Source organism: Homo sapiens, chromosome 10 (assembly GCF_000001405.40).
Source record: "Homo sapiens chromosome 10, GRCh38.p14 Primary Assembly".
NCBI classification, from domain to species: domain Eukaryota; kingdom Metazoa; phylum Chordata; class Mammalia; order Primates; family Hominidae; genus Homo; species Homo sapiens.
In genome coordinates, this window is record NC_000010.11 from 128,087,029 (window position 1) to 128,109,652 (window position 22,624).

The 22,624-nt window shown below is 46.3% G+C and overlaps 1 protein-coding gene across 4 annotated transcripts in view, besides 2 other annotated features; it reads right to left on the reverse strand.

Moving 5' to 3' along the window:
• Positions 4,359-4,860: an enhancer, noted in NCBI's record as "H3K4me1 hESC enhancer chr10:129889651-129890152 (GRCh37/hg19 assembly coordinates)". NCBI's record gives its function as "activates a minimal SCP1, AML or CMV promoter by ChIP-STARR-seq in naive H9 embryonic stem cells {active_cell/tissue: H9 hESC(naive)}" and the evidence as "EXISTENCE:reporter gene assay evidence [ECO:0000049][PMID:30033119]".
• Positions 4,861-5,360: an enhancer, noted in NCBI's record as "H3K4me1 hESC enhancer chr10:129890153-129890652 (GRCh37/hg19 assembly coordinates)". NCBI's record gives its function as "activates a minimal SCP1, AML or CMV promoter by ChIP-STARR-seq in naive H9 embryonic stem cells {active_cell/tissue: H9 hESC(naive)}" and the evidence as "EXISTENCE:reporter gene assay evidence [ECO:0000049][PMID:30033119]".
• Positions 9,631-22,624, reverse strand: part of MKI67 (marker of proliferation Ki-67) — a 29,765-nt gene continuing 16,771 nt past the window's right edge. For all 4 annotated transcript variants that reach the window (NM_001145966.2, NM_002417.5, XM_011539818.3 and 1 more), the window contains 3 exons: positions 15,551-22,395; positions 14,230-14,673; positions 9,631-12,227 (listed from right to left, as the gene is read on the reverse strand). In NM_001145966.2, the coding sequence (NP_001139438.1) occupies positions 12,162-12,227; positions 14,230-14,673; positions 15,551-22,395 (7,355 nt within the window). In that variant the 3' untranslated portion in view covers positions 9,631-12,161. The remainder of the gene's footprint in view (positions 12,228-14,229; positions 14,674-15,550; positions 22,396-22,624) is intronic.

A 22,624-nucleotide genomic window follows, 5' to 3' on the forward strand; every position in this document is an offset into this window, starting at 1 on the left:
AACAGACAACACTCTGCAATTTAAATCTGTATAGTTACAGAAACATATACATTGTTTGCTTTTATGAACAACAGTCAAACTCCTGGTATATCATCAAATCCAGGACTACCATTGTCAAAATCACTTTATGCTCTGCTAAGAAAGCAAAAATACTGCCATTTATTCCTGTAAGATCCCACCAATTTTGTGATAATCCTGATGTTAGGGAGGTTAATATGTGAAAGTACTGTGTCTTAGAAGTGACTAAATCTGCCACATATGGGCAGTTTTGCAGATGGCCCTCTTTGGTCAACATTCTGCCTGGACATGTCAGCACGTACACAGCTTCCTACTTCTGTTTAATGGCTGCTTGGCATTCCACAGTATAAACATAACAAAGTCTGGAGAGTCACCTCCACCTCCCCAGTGACAGACATTAACTTCTTTCCACATGCTGCAATTCTATAATTCAACTGTATAATGAATACTCCTGCATGTGTGTATGTTTGCTAACGTGCAAACTAGTTCTATGGGAGAATTCCCTAGAAGTGAAGTTTCTAGGTCAAAGGGCACATTTTAAATTTAAGTAGAAACCACCAAATTGTCACCTCCAAAGGACCTTCCCGGGCACCAACTCACCAATAGGGCATGATGGCGCTGTCTCCCTAGAAGTCACTCACCCGGGACGTTGCACACCTGAGAGGCAAAAAAAAAAAAAAAAAAAAAAAATCAGACTTCATGTTAATTTGCATGTCCCAGAGTTCTATTGGGCTGAGCATGTTTTCACAAGTGGGTTGTGTTTCATCAGTGAAGCATCATTCATAGTTTCATCCATTTTCCTCATTGCACCAACTGAGTTTTCCTCGTTGGTTTATTGTCAATCTTTTTTTATTATTATTATTTTGTTTGTTTATTGTCAATCTTTTGAAAACACGGGTACTAACCCTTTGTCTTTCCTATTATAACTATGCCCCTTCTGTTCCTTTATCAGAGTGTCTCTGAAGCCTGTTTAATGCACTTTCCAGGAAGCAGCACATGTGATGCCTCGACACCTGTCACCCAGCACATTGTGGCAACATACTAGTCTCATCTCAAATAAGACTCTGGGCTTCTTCCAGGAATCAGACGAAGTTTCAAGAAACACTTCACAGGATCAGGTTCCCCTCCAGAATTCTAGGCTAAAGGAGCCCGTCTGTGCCTTAGAAACCAAGACCTGTTTCCCTCTTGCATATGGACCAGCAGCCTTTGCTATAAGCACTCAGCGGCCCCAGCGGAGGCTGGACCGAGGTGTGAGCTTCACATTTGGCTCTGCTCTGGATGCTGAGGTTACATGACAGTGCCCTCCTTCTGAAAGTAACACACCCCCACTCTGTCCATGGTAATATTATCAGCCAGCAATTTTGTTTCCAAATAAACTGAAAAGCCCCATGGATGAAAGTGATGTCATCCTGATGGTGCCTGCATTGCCACCTACAGGAGTGTCTGCCAATGACCGTGCACCTGGAGGTTTGTGTCACTGAGCGGCCAGCATGTGGCTGAGGTATTAGGCTGCCGCTCCTTTCCCAACCACTGAATCCTGTCCAAGGTTGCCTAGGGCATCCCGCCCTCACTGATAACCCTTTCCTGAGCAAAACCTCCCTCAAGGATGCAAACAGATGCCATTCAGAACAGAGGCCAACAAACGCAACACCAGTTCTTTGGGGCCCTTGTGTGGTGAGCACTAATGCTTGTGATTAAAGAGGATATCTGAATGAGCATGGAAAATCCCAGTGCTTTCTCAGTAATCACTATTAAGATGAAAGCATAATGAGCACATTATAACAACTAGCCCAGAACAACTATGATAGTAACAATCAACATATTCACTTCGTTTCTCTTTTCTTATTTTCAAAATATGTATTTCAGGTTTATAAAGTGAGCCATATACACAGATAGTTCTCGTTCCATGAGCACCTATGTGCTGGGCCCTTTATATGGGTATTATCTGCACAATATCCCCTCAAGGGCTGAGAAACAGAAGCTTCCGGAGGATATGAAACTAGACCAAAGTTAGGTTGGAGGTAGCAGAAGAGACAGAATTCCAACCCAGAACACCCCTATGCTGCTGTGGCCCCTCTAAATTCAGCCACTCTGCATACCTTGCCCTTTGAGCTGTTATTAAACAACAGTGTGGCACGTTAAAAATACTTGAGAAGGCCAGGCACGGTGGCTCACGCCTGTAATCCCAGAACTTTGGAAGGCAGAGCTGGGCAAGTCAGGAGTTCGAGACCAGACTGGGAAACACGGCAAAACCTTGTCTCTACTAAAAATACAAAAATTAACTGGGCATGGTTGCAAGAGCTTCTAATCCCAGCTACTCTGGAGACTGAGGCATGAGAATTGCTTGAACCTGGGAGGCAGAGGTTGCAGTGAGTGGAGACCGCACCACTGCACTCCAGCCTGAGAGGCAGAGTGAGACTGTTTCCAAGAGAAAAATCACCGCGTAATTGATTTAAATGTGCAGGTGGGTTTAATACAACTCCAAAGATGCAGAATTCCTAGTTTAATATAACTTTCCTCAGCATGAGAATCATGTTGATCCTCCTCCTCTCCAGACACCAAGTGAGCTGATACTCTGGAGACAGAGCATGATCGCTTGGTGTGATGGAGCCACGGAGTTTTGTAGTGCAAGAAAAAGGGCTGCAGGTGATTGTTCCAGTTAAAGGGACCCCAGTCCCACCCCACTGTCAGGAGTCTGTTTTGTGTGGTTCTTGCTAGAAGAGGTCAGTAATACCCTCTCAGTGCTGTGGTCACTTGTCTTAGGAAAGCTTACACATGTAGCCAGTATGCATTCAAAACGAATCAGCACAAAACTGCCACGTACCCATCCACCTGTTAAGGAAAAGGCTCAGCACTGGGGAAGCTCTGAGGACACATAAATATGTTGGAGGACACCCACTCCCTGCCCCCAAGGAGGTCAGCACTGCCCATGGGATATACACATCCTCTACGTTTCTATTCTGTTGATAGCCAATATCTTGCATTTTGTAATTATAAACAGAACCTTGATTTTTAATAGTTTTACCACCTATATTTGCATCTCTAAACAGCAGTTTATTTTTGCCTATTTTTGAGCATTTTATAAATGAAGTTAACTTTATGTATTAAGGCTCAGGTTTTGAACGTACAAACTGTACCACACTGATTCAAATAGACATAGTTCATGTTGTGTTTACTAATATTTCAAGTAAAATAATGTAATTACAGGTATAATGTTTCTTCAAATCATGCAGCTCTCAGTAGAGTCTATTTATAGCAAAGATGCTTCACATTTGAAACCAACAGTGACTGGCAAATAGAATCCACCAGAAACCTGGGCACTCAAAATGTAACAGGCATGCAATCCATTGCAAGCCTGGTTAGGGAGGGGCTGTATCGCCTAGCATTACTCCCTAAAAAGTGGCCTCAAAACCTCAATGATAGGCAACAGGGGCCCACTTTGGGCATCTTCGCAGCCGTTGTCATAAAAAGTTTACATTCAGAAACTGGTCTCACCACTTCACTGCTCTCGCCGCAAGCACAGAGCACCATTATCTCCAGCAATTCCCAAGACCCTCACTCGCCCTGCACCTTACATTTCTTTGGCTCTGTATGGCAGTCACAGCTCTAAAGCTTCTAGTTGCAGAAGTTACTCCAGTGGGAATACTCCAAGTATGCCTCGTCCTCGCTTGCCTTGGCTTCTGCATAAGGTTAGTAAGAAGCAAAGCATGGCCAGGACTCCAGGGAAATGAATGGACGAAGACCAAGAAAGCCAGATGGCATAACCAGATAGCAAAACCAAGACATCATGGGCCACTTTGATGCTCAAGCCACCACCCACTGTCATTAACCGGGACAGGGAGGGGGTGGTGTGTTTTATGAATGGACTTGGTGCCTTCCATAATTCCCTCATCCTCAGAATCATGAACCGAGACACATACTTTGGGTTCTCCTTTCTGGGATGAGAGACGTGCAGATCTGTGTGGTCCAAGTTTGAATACTAGGGCCATCCTGCCTCTTTAGAATTCTGGGACGACCTCTCTTGCCAGATGCTGTTCCTCTGCCCTAATGGAATGTGGCGTCACAGTGCAGGGCTGAGGTCAGATCCACTCTTCTTAGTGGACACGACCTTCAGTTTTATAGAGCAAGAGGGTCTCATCTTAGAATATGTCTTTAAGTGACTGATTTTTAATCATTTACTTATTTGTTTGTTTATTTATTTATTGAGATGGAGTCTCGCTCAGTCGCCAGGCTGGAGTGCAATGGCACGATCTCGGCTCACTGCAACCTCCGCCTCCCGGGTTCAAGCGATTCTCCTGCCTCAGCCTCCTGAGTAGCCGGGACTACAGGCACCAGCCACCACACCCAGCTAATTTTCGTATTTTTAGTAGAGACAGGGTTTCACCATGTTGGCCAGGATGGTCTCGATCTCTTGACCTCATGATCCACCTGCCTCGGCCTCCCAAAGTGCTGGGATTACAGGCGTGAGCCACCATGCCCGGCCTAAATGAATGATTTTAAACCATATCCCTTTTCAAGTCACAGCAGTGCAACGCCTTAAAATCCAAGGCCCGTTTCCCTCTTGCTTTGATTGGTGGGCACAACCCTTAGTTCTTAGGAACCCAGGGGAACAGAGGTTGGGAAGAGAACTGCCGTGAGAAACCCAAATTGTTTAGGTGGCATCTGGGGTCAGCTAGACATTGACGAGGCAGCTCTGTGATGCTGGCTGGGCTTATTCACATTCACGTCTGGGGATTGGCTGGTAGTTGGGTAACCCCAACTAGCCTGGGCTGGGGGGCCGGGGTAGCTCAGCGGTCTTCCATATGGCTGTCGTCTTCCAACAGGCTCGTGTGGGTGAAGGCAGGCACAGACGGTGCACACACATGGCCCATTGCTTCCCCGACCAACCTGGAATCCAAAGGAAGAGGCAGGCGAGCAAAGCGGGCTGTACAGAGGAGGGGGCAGAGGTGCTTCTGAGAGGGGTATCGGACGGTGCTCAGGGAGCCTCAGGGGCCACCTAGCGTTGTGTTACCTCCAAAGCAGTGCTTTCTCGGAGTAACAGAGGGCGGGCCCAGAGCCAAATAGCTGGATTCTGAAACACAAAGAGCTACCACGAGACTAGTTTTTATTACACTAAAAATTCTTCATTAAGTTTTTATCATTGCCAACCTAAATCTATATAAACATATAATATATTTTATGTATATATTATTTTTACTTAAATATGTATGTATATATTTATAACATTTTATATACATATTTGTGTATAAATTTTCATAGATAATATTTATATATTTATATAGAACTTAGGTTGCCAATGATGAAAACCTAGTGAATAATATTTAGTATATTTATATATTTTATATAGTTATGAATATATAATATACTTAAGTTATATACATTACATTAAATATATTTAATTTATATTATACACAATATATTAGATTATATCTATAGTTATCATATTTATATATAAATACATACGCTTATATATAAATATAGGTAACTTTTCCCCTAAGTTGCTCCTATAGTTGTTTTTGGCTCTAGGGGACATGGAAGCAAGCAGGCAGATGAGGGGCCCAGGAATAAGTGACTCACTTCAGCACAAGCTGCATCTCCCGAGCCAGGGTGGAAATTTAGGAATTTGCTGATACACAGTCATGCCCCTCCTCCCTCCCAACATCAAAATTGACAGTGCTGCCTGGCCTGACCCGCCTCCCCTTGCTCATATCAGCCTGGCCTGGATCTGAGACCCCTGCCCAAGAGGGGCCTTGGATATAATTGCACTTCTCCTTTTCCAGACCCCACACAAGAAATAAGAAAAGCCTGGAGTCGTGTCCAGTCCTGACTGCTCCTTTCCCAGAGTTCTAGGCCTCTCGAAGGCTGAGGCCACGCTGGGATAAGAGGAAGACGGCACCGCTTGGAGACCTTCTGAGAATGGGGGCCAGGCTACACAATCCACCCGAGTTTTCTTCTTTTGTCCTCACAACCCTACGAGGCAAGAAATTGCCATCTTCACTCTCCCAGCTAGGGAAACTGAGGCTCAGAAAGGCCAAGCAATGGGCCCAAGTCATGCAGCGAGCAAGGGACAGGGCTGGGATTGGAAGCCAGGCCTCTCAGCTTCCAACGTCCTGGGGCTGGGAGCCGGTGGGGGTTCCAGGGCCCGGGAAGACCCCAAAGCCCAAAGTGAAATGCACCCTCTGCTCATGACCCGTTATATTGCAAGGGCTGCTAATTTCAATGTGATATGTCCTAGGAGGCATATATGTTAAATCACTCATTTCTCTAGATCAGGGATATGCAAACCAAGGTCCTCAGTCAAAATGGGCCCACAGCCTGGTTTTTGTTGTTGTTGTTGTTTTCTTGCTTGTTTTGTTTTGTTTTGTTTTGCTTAAGATGGAATCTCACTCTGTCACCCAGGCTGGAGTACAGTGGGCTGGATCTCAGCTGACTGCACCCTCCGCCTCCCTGGTTCAAGCAATTCTCCTGCCTCAGTCTTCTGAGTAGCTGGGATTTCAGGGGCCCACCACCACACCTGGCTAATTTTTGTATTTTTAGTAGAAACTGGGTTTCGCCATGTTGACCAGGCTGGTCTCGAACTCCTGGCCTCAAGTGATCCACCCGCCTCAGCCTCCCAAAGTGCTGGGATTACAGGCGTGAGCCACCGTGCCCAGCCCCACAGCCTGTTTTTATTAGCCATTTTTTGGACATGCCTGTTTGCTTGCGTGTTGCCTACAGCCGCTTCTGTTCTTTAACAGCAGAGGTGAGTCAGCATAACAGACAGTATGGCCCACGAAGCCGCCATATTTACTGCCTGGTCCTTGACAGAAAAAGTTTGCTAATTGCTGACCTGGATTAAAATCCACAGAACCTTTTCTATGCAGGGATGTGCTTCCCTATGTCCTGGCCATGCCTGGTCCCAGCACCACCTGTTTTAGCCAGACCTGTGTCTGGGCCAAGCTCAGCAAAGTTCTGCGATCTGATGTCATTTAAAGACACTGTTGACTGGGCATGGTGGCTCACGCCTGTAATCTCAACACTTTGGGAGGCCAAGGTGGCTGGATCACCTGAGGTCTGGAGTTTGAGACCAGCCTGGCCAACATGGTGAAACCCTGTCTCTCCTAAAAAAAAAATTACAAATATTAGCCAGGTATGTGTGGTGCATGCCTGTAATCCCAGCTCCTCAGAGGCTGAGGCAGGAGAATCTCTTGAACCTTGAAGGCAGAGGTTGCAGTGAGCCAAGATTGTGCCACTACACTCCAACCTGTGCAACAGAGTGAGACCGTCTCAAAAAAAAAAAAATAAAAGACAGTGTTAATATGGTATCAGATTGTGGCTGCCACATCACACATATTCTTTTCTCCTGCAGAGGCCATATTCAGTTTGGATAACCCTGAAATTTGGTTACTCGACTCTTAGTTAAATAATGTTTCTTTGCATTGTTGGTGGTTTGGGTAGTTTTCAATACGTGGGCTCGATGAAGACATAGACATATTATTCAGGATTTTTATTTTTCTTTTTTGAGACAGGGTCTTGCTCTGTTGACCAAGCTGGAGTGCAGTGATACAATCATAGCTCACTGCAGCCTTGAACTCCTGAGCTCAAGCAGTCCTCCCACATCAGCCTCCCAAGTAGCTGGGACTACAGGTATGTGCCACAATGCCCGCTAATTTTTTCTTTTCTTTTTTCTTTTTTTTTTTTTTTTGTAGAGATGGGGTCTCGCTATGTTGCCCAGGCTGATCTTGAACTCCTGGCCTCAAGCGATCCTCCAGCCTTGGCCTCCCAATGTGCTGGGATTACAGGTGTGAGCCACTGCCCCTGGTTATTCAGGCCTGTTACGTTCCAGATTCTTCCTTCACTTCCATAGAGAAATCCCTAGTGATAAAGAATTTATGAGCCAAGGGAAATATCTTGGAGTTTTAGGCATCTAATAAATATATTCATCTTCTGATGATGATGATAATTAGCATGTATTGATGCTTACCAAGCTCTGGGTAAAATGCTAAGTGTTTTACACATATTGTCTCATTTAATCTTCTCAACAATGCTATGTGCTCAGGTACTGAACAGCCTCATTTTACAGATGGGAAACTAGCAAAGTTGAAAGACTGTCCACGTTCACACAGCAGCAAATTAGACAAGCTGGAATTTGCACCTGTGCATTTGACTCCGAAGTCTGAACTCTCTCTAGGAATTTACACTCTGCAAGGGTGTGGAACACATACCAGACATCACATAAACTTTACAAATGATAAAGGAGCACCTGCCCTAACCCCAAGCAGACAGACAACAAGGGCCAGGATGGATTTTAGAACACTCTGACCTGTGAGAGAGGCGGACAGGCCTGCACCAGCTGTATTTCTGTAGTGACATACACAGGTGTATCACGCAGGGAGCCTGTCCAGTCACGGAGCCCTGGGACTGTACCATCAACACAGTTTTTGTTTGTTTGTTCTTCAGGTGACATCGAGAGCTCCCCCTGGGAGGTGGGGTTGGGGATGCTCCTTAGGAACCTCACTGGAAAGATGAGTCAAGCAGGTATCCAAGTCCAATTACCCGGCTCAGGGCTTGACATCACAGATGTGGGACTTGCCTGAGATGGGGCTGATGAGCAGGAAGCTGATTGGGGCCCTTGCAGGGCAACACACAACAAACCAATCAAACCTCCTTCCTGAAATCACTGTGCGCGCTGTGGGGGTGGCAGCGGGGGAGGGGGGGCGTGGCTTCCTGCCAATACATCATGGGTATTATTTGTTCCCTCATGAAGAGCAATAGCAATGAAATCCACATTTCCAAATTATGGAGTGCTGTGTGCCTACGTGGCACTCAATGCCAGTAATACCAGGATGGGGGTTTGGTGACTGTGTCCTGGAGATGCCTTGGGGGTCTGGGAGCACCTGGACAGCACAGAAATCAGTTTCTCCAGCTGTAACCAGAGTGCCAGGAGATTCCTGCAGTTCATCTAGAGGACTTTTCCAGGAAACCCAGCAAACAGTAGGATCTCAGCCACACGAAATCATTTAGTTAAGTAGCTACAGTTTACTTTATGGAGTCGCCGTTTGCCATGTTAATTCTTGATGACAGCCCAGGATGTGGGCTGCAGACTGAACCCACTTCCTTCACCAGACTGACCACCGAGCACGGCTCTCCCTCCCTCCTCAGCCTCTCAAGATGGTAGATGCACCCACCTGCAAACTTTTCTCTCCGACAGAAAGGCCTCTTCTTCAGGACTAACTGACCTACCGCAGGCTACTGCCCCTGGAACTTGCCAGCAAATTCACTCCCGGGATCCATGTCAAATCAGGGTTGCCAGAGGAAAGTCAGGGCATGTATTTTCATCTGCTGACTTGGGGCAGCCCTGGGTCAAATCCCCATCCCTCAACTCAGCACCTCTGTTGCAACAAAGCAGGCACAGCTGCGGTTGCAGGTAGTTCTCGAGATACAGCAGGCCATTCCTGCAGGACTAAAAGCAGCTGCGATGACTTATTGGCCAAGAGAGAAAATGACCATCCAGCCAAGTCCTTGTAGAAATGAAAATGGAACGTAATGAACCAGTCTCTCTTACACTGGCCTGTCTGCCCCACCCACACTTAGTTTCTTTCCCCACTCTCCCTATAATAAAAATACCATGGGTTTTAAGACCATTTCATCACATACTTTATTGGACATCTCCTGTGGCTGGTCACTGGGATAGAGTAACCAGGAAATGCAGTCGGCCCTCATGAATGAACAAAACTTACAACCCCAGGAGGGGAGCCAGAAACTCAATTAGTGGCTTAGTTTCCACAACACTACGTGCTACAAAGAGGTACAGAACAATTCCAGGCAAACTAAGAACCTGCCCCAGCCTGGAGGACAGGCATGGGGGTGAGGGAACCCACAGGCAAGAAGCCTCCCTTAAGCTGAGCTCAGGACTGGATGAAATGATCTTGGTGGGGCAGGAGGGAAAGTTCCAGGCAGGGAAAACAGCAGGGAGTGTGTGGTGGTTGGAGGTGCCTGCCTAAGGGAGGCAGGAGATGGTAGGTACAGAGTTAGTGTAAGAAAGCCCAAGAGAGGCTGGGGGACCAGATCCCACAGGCCCTGGGAGGCGAAAAAGTAAAAACAGCTTGTATTTAATGGGAATGTCCTATTACATGGAAATTCACTTGGAAACTGAAGCTCAGAGAAGTTACCATACCATGGTGGAAATGGGTGGGTATTTGTTCTCAAATCCAGTCAGCCTAGGGGAATGGGCAGTATTTGTCAGATCTCTCCCTCCCCCAGTACCAAGGAGGGTTGTGTAGAAGTGGTGTTCATCTATTAAACACGGGGGTAGCCCTTAAATGAACATTTTTAACCCATCATCAACAGCCCTGTAAAATGAAAACCACCCTTAGCGTGCTCTTGAAATACTGTACTTACCAGGGTGAGAAAAGGTGCTGACATACTTCAGCAAGATTTCTGGTTAGAGCTGAACTCTAAAGGATTTTTCTACTAAACAGAATATTCCACTCCACAGGCATATGGCTGGATGAAATTTTTCTATGTGAGGTTCATAATTACTACTAAGTCTAAAGTGTTAGAACAACTTGATCATAGCAACATTCCTACTGAAAGTTTTGAGGTTGGCCTACGTAGAAGGAAGCATTTATGCCTCACACCTTCCAAAGTGCCTCTGCTAAGAGCCACTCTTCCTTGAACACCCTCCCCTGTTCTGCCCTGGTGCAATCCCTGTACCCTTTGCAGCCCTGTGAAGCCCTCAGATGTCCCCTCCCTGCCCCTTTCTATTCCCTCCCTCAAGCAGAATGTCATTCTCCCTTACGATCATGGATGACGCTGTGAGAACCCTATCATGGCAGCCAATATAGTACAAGTCAGTACCGCTGATTTCTGCATTCATTCAGCAAGTATTTATGATGTCACCTGGCTCCCCGCCAGACACTGGGGAAACAAACGTGGAGACAGGGCACTGCCCGCACAGGGCACATTTTGGGGGACAGCTACCCTGTCTGGTGCACCATCCTCACCTGCACCTGGCAAGGTGGGTGAATGGGGAGGAATCCAGACAGGTGACCTGGGGGATGGCGGGCTATTCTCTGATTTGGGGAACACAGAGAGGACAGGGGGCAAAGTGGAAAGTAAATGAAGATGAACGAGTTATATCTACAAGTCTGAAGCTGGAGAAAGATGTCTGGGCTTCAAAGGAGATTTCGGAGGCAGCGGCTCACAAGGAAGCGATCCTGAAATCGTGGCTGAAGGTGCTGAGTGCTCAGTCTCTCCAAGGATGATGATGCTTTACAGAGTACTGGTGTCACTTCCTGTACTGGGTGGCATCGGGCTGCCAGATAGAGTCAGAAAGAAAACAGGCGGGAGCAGAGCCAGTAAACTTCCGAAGCTTTCAATGACAGGAAAGCTGGAGATTAGGAGCCAGTTTGAGGTCGTGATGGCCCACAGCCTGGGACCCTGAGATTCCGCGGGTGGAGAATGTCTCAGGTGAGAGCAACCCTAGTTAGAAAAGTATTCCCAAGAGACCAAGGCAAGCCACGAGTCACTCCTTACAGAAAGTCACTCTTGGTCCCTAAAGATGTGCTCACGAGTCATTCTCCAAAGCACAAAACTTTATTTTCAGAAAGGAAAGGACATCAAAAATAGGACTGTCCTGTGCAGATGTCCAATAGCCTTAATTTGGGGACCAAATGCCCCCGGCCATTGGAAAGACAGATCTTGTAAGCTCCATTCATCCGTGCGCTCATCCATTCATTCGTGTTTACCGAGTGCCTGCTCAGTGTTGGGACAGACGAGGATAGTTGTTCCTGCCACCGTGCCCTGGAGGACATAGGCAAACAAACGACGACACAGTGTGGCAAGTGTCACAGTTAAGGCTGCTGTAGGGTGGCTGTGGGTGGTGACAGACCTCAAGGCTTCATTCTGCAAAGCTGAGGGCAAACCTTGGCCCAGACTCCTTCACAAAGCCCCCGGTGTTCAACTATTCTCAGTCCAGGAGCCCAGCAGTGCTCCCAGTGGAGTTTATGAAGCCGATTCAGACCCAGCAAATCCAAAGTTTTCTTCCCTTAAGCAGACTGACAGCCTTACTTACAGAATTCACTTGTAATTTATGACAAAAACTGCACTAGAACTTATCACAAAACTAACTTTATTATATTTTTCCCAGTTCGATTTTTCTGTCAAATATCTTCACTGTCCCTATGACTTCTGGTTCTTATTTTCTTGACACACACATTGTCCTCAGCCTGTGTGGGAAGAAAAAAAATAGAACTCTTAAGTAATTTAAACACCCATTTTTAGAATCGACCTCCTCTGCAAAACCCCAAAGGCTTACTAGGTATTATGCAGGTCCTTAGTTGCAGAAAATTAATTTTGAGGTTGGAAATAAGTTTTAAAATATATTCCATTAACATTGTTTTTCTTGACTTGAACTGCTTTTATTATGCAGTTTTTTTACACTTAAATAATGTGATCTTTTCATACAGAAGTTCCTAATGCATTTTTAAGCTAATTCATAATAAAATTTCTTCATCGATGCACACATTTTCACAAACTAAAAAATGTCACTCAGAAAAAGTGAATCCAACCAGGATTAAGTCTTTTGGGTCTCCTAAACCAAGGAACCCCTGTAGACAGAAGCATGCCCAACTTGCATGCAGGAGACCTGCCTTGGCCTTTACTCTTGCAGTAGTTCTCACCCCTTGGCTAAGGGAGAGGAACCATGGTGAAAAGCATGGCTACAAGCTTCTTACTGGAAAAAATCTATCTTATATATGCATTTTCTAGGACTACCGACACCCACCGAAGAGCTCGGCAAAGAGGAGCATGTGTGTGTTGGGCGTCTCCTGGGTGCTTGTGTGTGAGAAGAGGCTGGAACGCCCCCGGCAGAACACACCAGGCCTGGCTCAGCCTTGGGCCTGGTTGCTCTGTGTTTAGGAATCATCCTAGTTAAAAGATTCGCTTTCACCCTTCTTTGGTTTCATTCTGAGGAAGCAGCACCTTCCAGACTGTGAATTCGGTAAGCGCCTGGAGCCTGCGTTTTATTGTAAGACTCGACGGGTGAACGTGCTGACCCACGTCAGCTGTTGCGTCCCTGGTGTGCCTGTGGTTTCTAGGACCTTGTCTGGCACTGTCGGGTGTCTTCTGCTTCCAGCCTGCCCCAGAAGTACAGTCTCTGACTTAGGACACCTGTGTGGGCATCAGTGCCCTTCTTGAGCCTCTCCTCTTCCCTCTCTGGAACAGTCTATGGGCATCTCCCCACTAGGACTTCCTGCCCACCATCCAGACACACAAGCCCTCCCCCTCCACTGGCTGCCTGGCTATGCAGCAGGTACTGGGGACACCTGGGAATCTTTCCTTTTCTTGGCAGTTGAAGCTTCCTAGTTTGTGCCGAAGAGGGTCTGTCTGGACAGCTGTACTTGCCAGAATTCTGTATCTGAAGAGGTTATTGCTACATGAGTTTCGTTTGCTGAACTCAGAATATGGTAGTTTTAGGTCCAAATTTTGTGTGTGCTAAGAATTAAATTTATATTATATTTTTGTGAATTGCTCACAAAAAGGGAGCAATTCAACCTATTTTTATTTTAGCTAAACCAAGTATTCCCCAGAAGAACACTAATGGAATCTAATCATTCTTATGGATTTGTCCACATGCTTGTAATTATGAGTGGCTCAACTTGATGTGATTTCAGTAGCACTTAAAGTTCATTAGCTTAGATAGTCTCTGGCTGGAGGAGGGTTGGAGGGCAGACGCATCCCCCACTGACCAGGAACTCTCACATAGTGAGCATGTGTCTCAGGGACATCCCAACTTCTGTTCCTTCTGCCTTTCCAAAGAATGCCTTGGAAATTTTTCTGTTTCAATAGTTTTTTTTGGAAAAAGAATTTTCCTGTTTCAAGAGGTGATTTTGAACTACAGAAAGGCTGAAGACATCTACCTACAATTGTATCATGAGGTACATCATAAGCAGTCAGAAATTAGCCACTAGACAAATTCCTTTTCTTTCTGAAGAAAGTCTTCATAACGTGAATTTGCTATTTGAAGTGAAATTCCCAAAGTAGACACAACAAAATATAACTAAAATGACCAAATTTATGTCTTAGCATAATGCTCCTTCCATTAATGTAACTGGGAGCTGGCAGAGTGCTGTTGAAGATAATGCTTTTTGTTTGCCTTTGCAACCTTGGGCAAAAAATACATCAAAACATTCTGTGTCTTTTAAAACAGGGAAACAGTAAATGGCTTACCTTCTTTGGATTTTCTGCACACCTCTTGACACTCCGCGTTACTCTCTGCACAGATTTGCTCTCCAAAGTGCTTGCTGCAGGCTGGCTTTTTGTCTTTCTTGATCTCAGGCACATGGAGTCTGAATTTCCTGCTTCTCCTTTCCCTTTCTGATTCTGCATGAGAACCTTCGCACTCTTCTGCCCTCCGCTCTCCTCTGCCACCTTAGGCTGGGAGCTCTCATTCTGTCTAGCAGACCTCAAGCACCTTTTGTTCTCAGTGACTTTGTCTCTAGGTATGGGTTTCCGGGCTCCATCATCTGGATTCTGAATGTCCATCTCTGGGGAGGTCTTCATGGGCTTCTTTTCATTTCTGTTTATTTCTATTCTTTCTGCTAATACAAAGACCTCAGTTATTTGCTGTTCTGCCTCAGTCTTATTTTGGCGTCTGGAGCGCAGGGATATTCCCTAAAGAAATGAGAAGACATCCACAAAATTCCAATAATTAGTAAAACAAACTTCAAAATTCAACAGGGAGCACAATCAACAGTAACCTAAAAGGAGAAATCATTTGAAAATCACACACTGATGAATTGTCTAAGAGACTTGTCATCTAGGATAGTCAAGGTAATGCCTTGGTACTTTGCTCCTATGGAGAAATGACTGTCTCTGCTGACAAATTATAAATAAGGAATTCAGGATAAATTTCAATAACAATGCCTAATAAGATATATATCAAATCTAATTTTTACAGTTTACATTATAGAAAGAAGGTCCGTTATTCATTCATTTACAGGGAGTAAATGAATTCCTATTCCTTTAACCATCACTGCTAAGGCAGAACAGGAAATTGCCATTTCTGGAGTTTCCCCAAACTTCTCTGCATGCAGTGGGAGCCTCTCTATCTAACAGTCCAGACAGTTTCCCCTTCTCAAGAATACACATTCCTTATTGATATTGTTCTGATAGTTAAAATAGTGACATAGATAGGATTTTTAACCCAGTCCTGGTCTTGGTGACAGTATCCAGAACATAGAACTGAACCACCCACCTATCCTCTGATCAATTTTTTAAACATTTGAAGATGAACATTACTCATTTGGCTTTTGAGAAACTCTTCTAAGTTTGCATTAATCATGTTTGACTAGTTCTTTTCCCATATTAGTCTATTCCCTCTATAGGTCCCAAGAAGATTCTTTACCATGGCCTGCAGTTATTCAGTGTTAAAGGAAACCCTCTGGGGAAAGGATAACCACTTATAACGTCAGGTTACATGCAAAGTATAACACAGAAATTCACAACTATCCAAGACGATATTGAGTGATGCTGTAATACTTCCTCTCACCTTATTTTCAGGGACCGAGTCTTGTAATTTGTGTTCCTCTTTGTTGGTTTTCATGTCGTTGCTGTTCAGCTCTTCCGCAGGTTCAATTCTTTTTGCAGAAGTCCTCAAACTTCTCTTCATGATGACCACGGGTTCGGATGATTTGCCTCTTGCCCTGGGAGCAACCCTCTGCTTCTTGCTGGCTGGCAGCTCCTCCACAATTTCCTCTGGTGCTGGCATGCAGCGCAGCCTCTTGGTTCCCGTGACGCTTCCATCTTTGCCACCTCCCCTCTTGAAGGGCAGTGGGGGCAGGGAAGTGTTGCTTTTGCTTTGTGATTTTACAGGGTCTCTGGTGCTTACCACGTCTCCCACGGGTTCTACTTTAGGGGCCCGAAGAACTCTTCTGGATATTTTTAGAGGTTTTCCACTGTCAGGTGTTTGCTTTGGAGCGCTTGTAAAGCTATCAGCAGCACCATTTGCCAGTTCCTCAGTGTGGCCTGGTGTTTGAGAGAGCTCTTGGAAGCTGGCCAGATCTTCCAGGGGTTGGGCCTTTTCCTTAGGTGCTCTTGGCTGTCTCCTGCTGCCAATTACATCTTCTGCGTCCAGCTTCCGCTTTGCAGGTTGCTTAAATGCTTTCGTGCCTTTGCCCTCACCTACCGGCTCTTTGTCGGTGTGCGTGGTCTCCCCTGAGGTTTGTGTGAGCTTGCCAACTGCTAACAGCTCCTCCTTCACTTCTACTTTCTGGGCACGTGTCCTGGGCCGTCTCTTTGAGCTTGTTGCGGTGTCTTCTAGTTCTGGTGATGATTTGCAGGGTATTTTAGTGGTTTTGTCATCAGTCATTGATTCTTCAGTGTGACCTGCTGCTGGGTCTTTGAAGCCAGCTAGGTCTTCTATGGCTTGGGCACTTTCCCTGGGTGCTCTTGGCCGTCTCCTGCTGCCAGTTACACTTGCTGCTGGAGCCGGTGTCTGTTTTGCAGATTCCTTCAATGCTTTGATGCCTTTATCTTCACCTGCTGGTTCTTTGTCTGCATCCGTGGTTTCCCCTGATGTTTGTGTGAACTTGACTGCTGAAGGCTCTTCTTTTACTTGTACCTTCTGCACACGTGTCCTGAGATGCCTCTTTGTGCTTGCTGTGGTGTCTACCACTTCTAGTGGGGGAGATTCGCAGGGTATTTTAGTGGCTTTGCCAGCAGTCAGTGATTCCTGAGTGTGACCTGATGTTTCAGAGAGCTCTGTGAAGCCGGCCAGGTCTTCCAGGGGTTGGGCCTTTTCCTTAGGTGCTCTTGGCCTTCTCCTGCTGGGTTCCTCTTCTACTGGGTTTGGTTTCTTCTTTGCACGTTGCTTCAATACTTTGATGCCCTCATCACCGCTTGCTGGTTCTTTGTGTGTGTGTGTGCTTTGCCCTGATGTTTGCGTGAGCCTCTCAACTGCTGAGAGCTCCTCTTTTACTTCTTTCCTGGGACGTGTCTTGGGGCATCTCTTTGTGCTCGTGGCAGTGTCTGTTAGTTCTGGTGGGGGAGATTTGCAGGGAATTTTTGTGTTTTTGTCAATAGTCATTGACTCTTCAGTGTGACCTGGTGCTGAGAAGAGCTCTTTGAAGTCAACCAGGTCTTCTAGAGCACGGGCCTTTTCCTTACGAGTTCTCAGCTGCCTCCTGCTACCAGTTACACTTGCTGCTGGGTCCAGGATCTGCTTTGGAGACTCCTTAAACGCTTTGATGCTCTTACTATCTCCTGTTGGCTCTGTGTGTGTTTGCGTAGTCTCCCCTGATGTCCGTGTGAGCTTGCTGACTGCTAGGGGCTCTTCTTTCATGTCCACTTTCACCAGGGGTATCTTGAGCCTTTGCTTGGAGCTTCTTGAGGTTTTGAATGACTCTGGCTGTGGAGATTTACAGGATACTTCTGTGATTTTGTCATCAGTCATTGATTCCTCAGTGTGACCTGGTGTCTGGAAGAGTTCTTTGAAGCCAACCAGGTCCTCTAGAGCCTCAGCCTTTTCCTTAGGAGTCTGTGGCTGTCTCTTGCTGCCAGGTAAATTTCCTAGCAGGTCCAGTTTCTGCACTGGAGTTTCCACAAATGTGTTGATATTTTTCTCATCACTTACTGCTGGTTTTGGTGTGTCCATGGCTTTGCCTGCTGATGGTGTTCGTTTCCTGAGTGCTAAAAATTCTTCCTCTACGTCTGCTTTCCTGAGGTTTCTCTTGGGCCGTTGCTTTGTGCTTGCTGGGGTGTCCACTGGGTCTGGTTGTGGAGATTTGCAGGCTATTTTGGTAGTTTTCTCATCAGTCGTGGGCTTGTCAGTGCCTGGTGTCTGGAAGAGCTCTTTGAAGCCAGCCAGGTCTTCTAGAGCCTGGGCCTTTTCCTTAGGAGTTTGTGGCCATCTTTTGCTGCCAGGTAAATTTCCTGGCAGGTCCAATTTCTGCACTGGAGTTCCCATAAATGCTTTCATGTCTTTCTCATCACCTCCTGCTGGTTTGGGTGTGTCCATAGCTTTCCCTACTGATGGTGTTCGTTTCCTGAGTGCTAAGGATTCTTCCTCTACGTCTGCTTTCCTGAGACTTCTCTTGGACTGTGGCTTGAAGATTGTTGGGGTACCCACTGGGTCTGGTTGTGGAGATCTGCAGGCTATTTTGGTAGTTTTCTCATGAGTCGTGGGCTTGTCAGTGCATATTGGTGTCTGGAAGAGCTCTTTCAAGCCAGCCAAGTCTTCTAGGGGTTGGGCTTTTCCCTTAGGAGTTCTTGGCTGCCTCTTGCTACCAGTTACACTTGCTGCTGGGTCCAGTTTCTGTTTTGCAGTTTCCCTGAACACGTTGATGCCTTTATCCTCATCTCCTGGTACTTTGTCTGTGTGTGTGGTCTGTGTGAGCTGCTTCAGGGCTGAGAGCTCTTCCACTATATCCCTTTTCCCCAAAGGTGTTTTGGGCCGCCTCCTTGTGCTTGTTGGAGTGTCCATTGATTCTGGTGGTGGAGATTTGCAGGCTATTTTGGTAGTTTTGTCATCAGTTGTTGATTCCTCAGTGTGGTCTGGTGTCTGGAAGAGCTCTTTGAAGCCGGCCAGGTCTTCTAGTGATTGGGCCTCTTCCTTAGGTGTTCTTGGCCACCTCTCCATCCCAGTTCCATAGTTTGCTGGGTCCAGCATCTGCTTTGCAGATTCCTTAAACGCTTTGATGCTCTTTCCATCTCCTGCTGTCTCTCTGTGTGTCTGTGTGGTCTTCCCTGACGTCTGTGTGAGCTTGCCGACTGGTAGGACCTCTTCTTTCACACCTACTTTCCCCAAGGATATCTTGAGTCGTTGCTTGGAGCTTGTTGGGGTTTTGACTGGGTCTGGTTGTGGAGATTTGCAGGATACTTCTGTGATTTTGTCATCGGTCATTGATTCCTCAGTGTGACCTGGTGTCTGGAAGAGCTCTTTGAAGCCAGCCAGATCTTCTAGAGCCTTGGCCTTTTCTTTAGGAGTTTGTGGCCGTCTCTTGCTGCCAGGTAAATTTCCTAGCAGGTCCAGTTTCTCCACTGGAGTCCCCACAAATGTGTTGATGTCTTTCTCTTCACCTACTGCTGCTTTAGGCGTGTGCATGGCTTTGCCTGCTGATGGTGTTAGTTTCCTGAATGCTAAAAATTCTTCCTCTACGTCTGCTTTCTTGAGGCTTCTCTTGGGCCGTTGCTTTGTGTTTGTTGGGGTGTCCGCTGGGTCTGATTGCGGAGATTTGCAGAGTATTTTTTTGGTAGTTTTCTCATCAGTCGTGGGGTTATCAGTGCATGGTGTCTGGAAAAGCTCTCTGAAGCCAGTCAGTTCTTCTAGAGCCTGGGCCTTTTCCTTACGAGTTTGTAGCCGTCTATTGCTGCCAGGTAAATTTCCTGGCTGGTCCAGTTTCTGCACTGGAGTTCCCAAAAACGTGTTGATGTCTTTCTCTTCACCTACTGCTGGTTTGGGTGTGTGCATGGCTTTGCCTGCTGATGGCGTTTGTTTCCTAAATGCTAAAAATTCTTCTTCAGTGTCTGCTTTCCTGAGACTTCTCTTGGGCTGTGGCTTGGAGCTTGTTGGGGTGTCCACTAGGTCTGGCTGTGAAGCTCTGTAGGATACTTTGGTAGTTTTTTCGTTAGTCATTGATTCCTTAGTGTGACTTGGTGTCTGGAAGAGCTCGATGAAGCCGGCCAGGTCTTCAGGGACTTCAGACTTTCCCTTAGGAGTTCTCAGCTGCCTCTTGCTGCCAGTTAGACTTGCTGCTGAGTCTAAGATCTGCTTTGGAGACTCCATAAATGCTTTCATGCTCTTACCATCTCCTGTTGGCTCTGTGTGTGTGTGTGTAGTCTCTCCTGATGTCTGTGTGAGCTTGCCAACTGCTAGGAGCTCTTCTTTCACGCCCACTTTCCCCAGGGATGTCTTGAGCCGTCGCTTGGAGCTTGCTGGGTTTTTGTCTGGGTCTGGTTGTGAAGATTTGCAGGCTACTTTGGCAGTTTTATCGTTAGTCATTGATTCCTCAGTGTGACCTCGTGTCTGGAAGAGCTCTTTAAAGCCAGCCAGGTCTTCTAGAGCCTGGGCCTTTTCCTTAGGAGTTTGTAGCCGTCTCTTGCTGCCAGTTAAGTTCTCTGTCAGGTCCAGTTTCTGCACTGGAGTTCCCATAAATGCGTAGATGTTTTTCTCACCACTTACTGCTGGTTTGGGTGTGTGCATGGCTTTGCCTGCTGATGGTGTTCGTTTCCTGAGTGCGAAGAATTCTTCTTCTACGTCCACTTTCCTGAGACTTCTCTTGGACTGTGGCTTGGAGCTTGTTGGTGTGTCCACTGGGTCTGGTTGTGATCTGCAGGCTATTTTGGTAGTTTTCTCGTGAGTCGTGGGCTTGTCAGTGCATACTGGTGTCTGGAAGAGCTCTTTCAAGCCAGCCAGGTCTTCTAGGGGTTGGGCCTTTTCCTTAGTTTTTGGGTGCCTCTTGCTACCAGTTACACTTGCTGCTGGGTCCAGTTTCTGTTTTGCAGTTTCCCTAAACGCGTTGATGCTTTTATCCTCACCTCCTGGTACTTTATCTGTGTGTGTGGTTTCCCCTGATGTCTGTGTGAGCTTCTTCAGGGCTGAGAGCTCCTTCTGTACGTCCCTTTTCTCCAAAGGTGTCTTGGGCTGCCTTCTTGTGCTTGTTGGGGTGTCTGCTGATTCTGGTGGAGAAGATTCGCAGGGCATTTTAGTAGTTTTGCCAGCAGCCACTGCTTCTTCAGTATGACCAGGGGTCTGGAAGAGCTCTTTAAAGCCAGTCAGGTCTTCCAGAGCCTGGGCCTCTTCCTTAGGAGTTTGTGGCCGTCTCTTGCTGCCGGTTAAGTTCTCTGTCAGGTCCAGTTTCTGCACTGGAGTTCCCACAAATATGATGATGTCTTTCTCTTCACCTACTGATGGTTTAGGCGTGTGCATGGCTTTGCCTGCTGATGGCATTAGATTCCTGCACGCTAAGAGTTCTCCCTCTACATCTGCTTTCCTGATACTTCTCTTGGGTCGTTGCTTTGTGCTTGTTGGGGTGTCCACTGGGTCTGACTGTGGAGAGTCGCAGGGTATTTTAGTGGTTTTACCAGCAGCCACTAATTCCTCGGTGTGACCAGGAGTCTGGAAGAGCTCTTTAAAGCCAGCCAGGTCTTCTAGAGCCTGGGCCTTTTCCTTAGGAGTCTGTAGCTGTCTTTTGCTGCCAGGTAAAGTTCCTGCCAGGTCCAGTTTCTGCACTGGAGTTCCCATAAATGCTTTAATGTCTTTCTCATCACCTCCTGCTGGTTTGGGCGTAAGCATGGCTTTCCCTGCTGATGGTGTTAGTTTCCTGAGTGCTAAGAATTCTTCCTCTACATCTGCTTTCCTGAGACTTCTCTTAGGCCATTGCTTTGTGCTTGTTGGAGTGTCCACTGATTCTGGTGGTGGAGATTTGCAGGCTATTTTGGTAGTTTTCTCATCAGTCATTGATTCCTCAGAGGGACCTGGTGTCTGGAAGAGCTCTTTGAAGCCAGCCAGGTCTTCTAGTGACTGGGCCTCTTCCTTAGGCGTTCTTGGCCACTTCTTCATTCCAGTTACACGGGCTGCTGGGTCCAGGATCTGCTTTGGAGACTCCTTAAACGTTCTGATGCTCTTGCCATCTCCTGCTGGCTCTCTGTGCGTGTGCGTGGTCTCCCCTGACGTCCGTGTGAACTTGCCGACTGCTAGGAGCTCTTCTTTCACACCTACTTTCCCCAGGGATGCCTTCAACTGTTGTTTTGTGTGTGTTGGGGTGTTTATTGGTTCTGGTTGTAATGACTGGCAGGGCATTTTAGTGATTTTGCCTTTCTCACTCTTTGGTGCCTTGGCATGATCTTGGGTTTGGAGGAGATTCTGGCCACGTGCCGTGTCTTTCATGAGTTCTGTATCAGGCAAGCTCTTGAGGTCTGTCAGGTCAGACATTGGTGCACATTTCTGCCCCCAAGTTCTTGATCTCTTCATTGCTTTCATCTTTTCATCGTTTTCTTTTAATTCAATATTTTCCTTATATGTCTCAAAAGGTCTTTCTATTTCCTTCATCTCTCCTTCTCTCCTTTGTTGTAGTAGTGTTGCCTTCTGACCTCTTTTTAGGATGCACTCAACAATTTCTGTATTTGTTTCTTCACTCTTACTTTCCACAGGTAGCTTCTGTATATTCCTGAACTCTGTAGACCTTCCTGACCTGTTTGCAGTGGATACTGTTTTTGAAGGCTCTGTCTCAGTATCTGAAGTTTTTGTCTCCAGAGAAGTCATTTTGTAGGTGTTCCTGGGCGTTTTTGCTACGTTTCCATTTTCTCTAATACACTGCCGTCTTAAGGGAGGGCTTGCAGAGCATTTATCAGATGGCTGTTTTGCTGCATTCTGTGCACTGAAGAACACATTTCCTCCTGAAATAAAAACATACACAATAAAAACATTCTATTAGTGTCTCATGTCAATCGAGTATTACAGCCTCATAAAATATGGTAAAAAACTAAATATTTAGCTTCGTATTCACTGAACGACATGAGGCTACTTATGTGTCTATAAATCTGTCTTATAAGAGCCATGCACAATTAAGAATAATGTTATTTGGTGCTATAGTGGGGTCATCATTAAGCAAAGTTAGATGCTGAA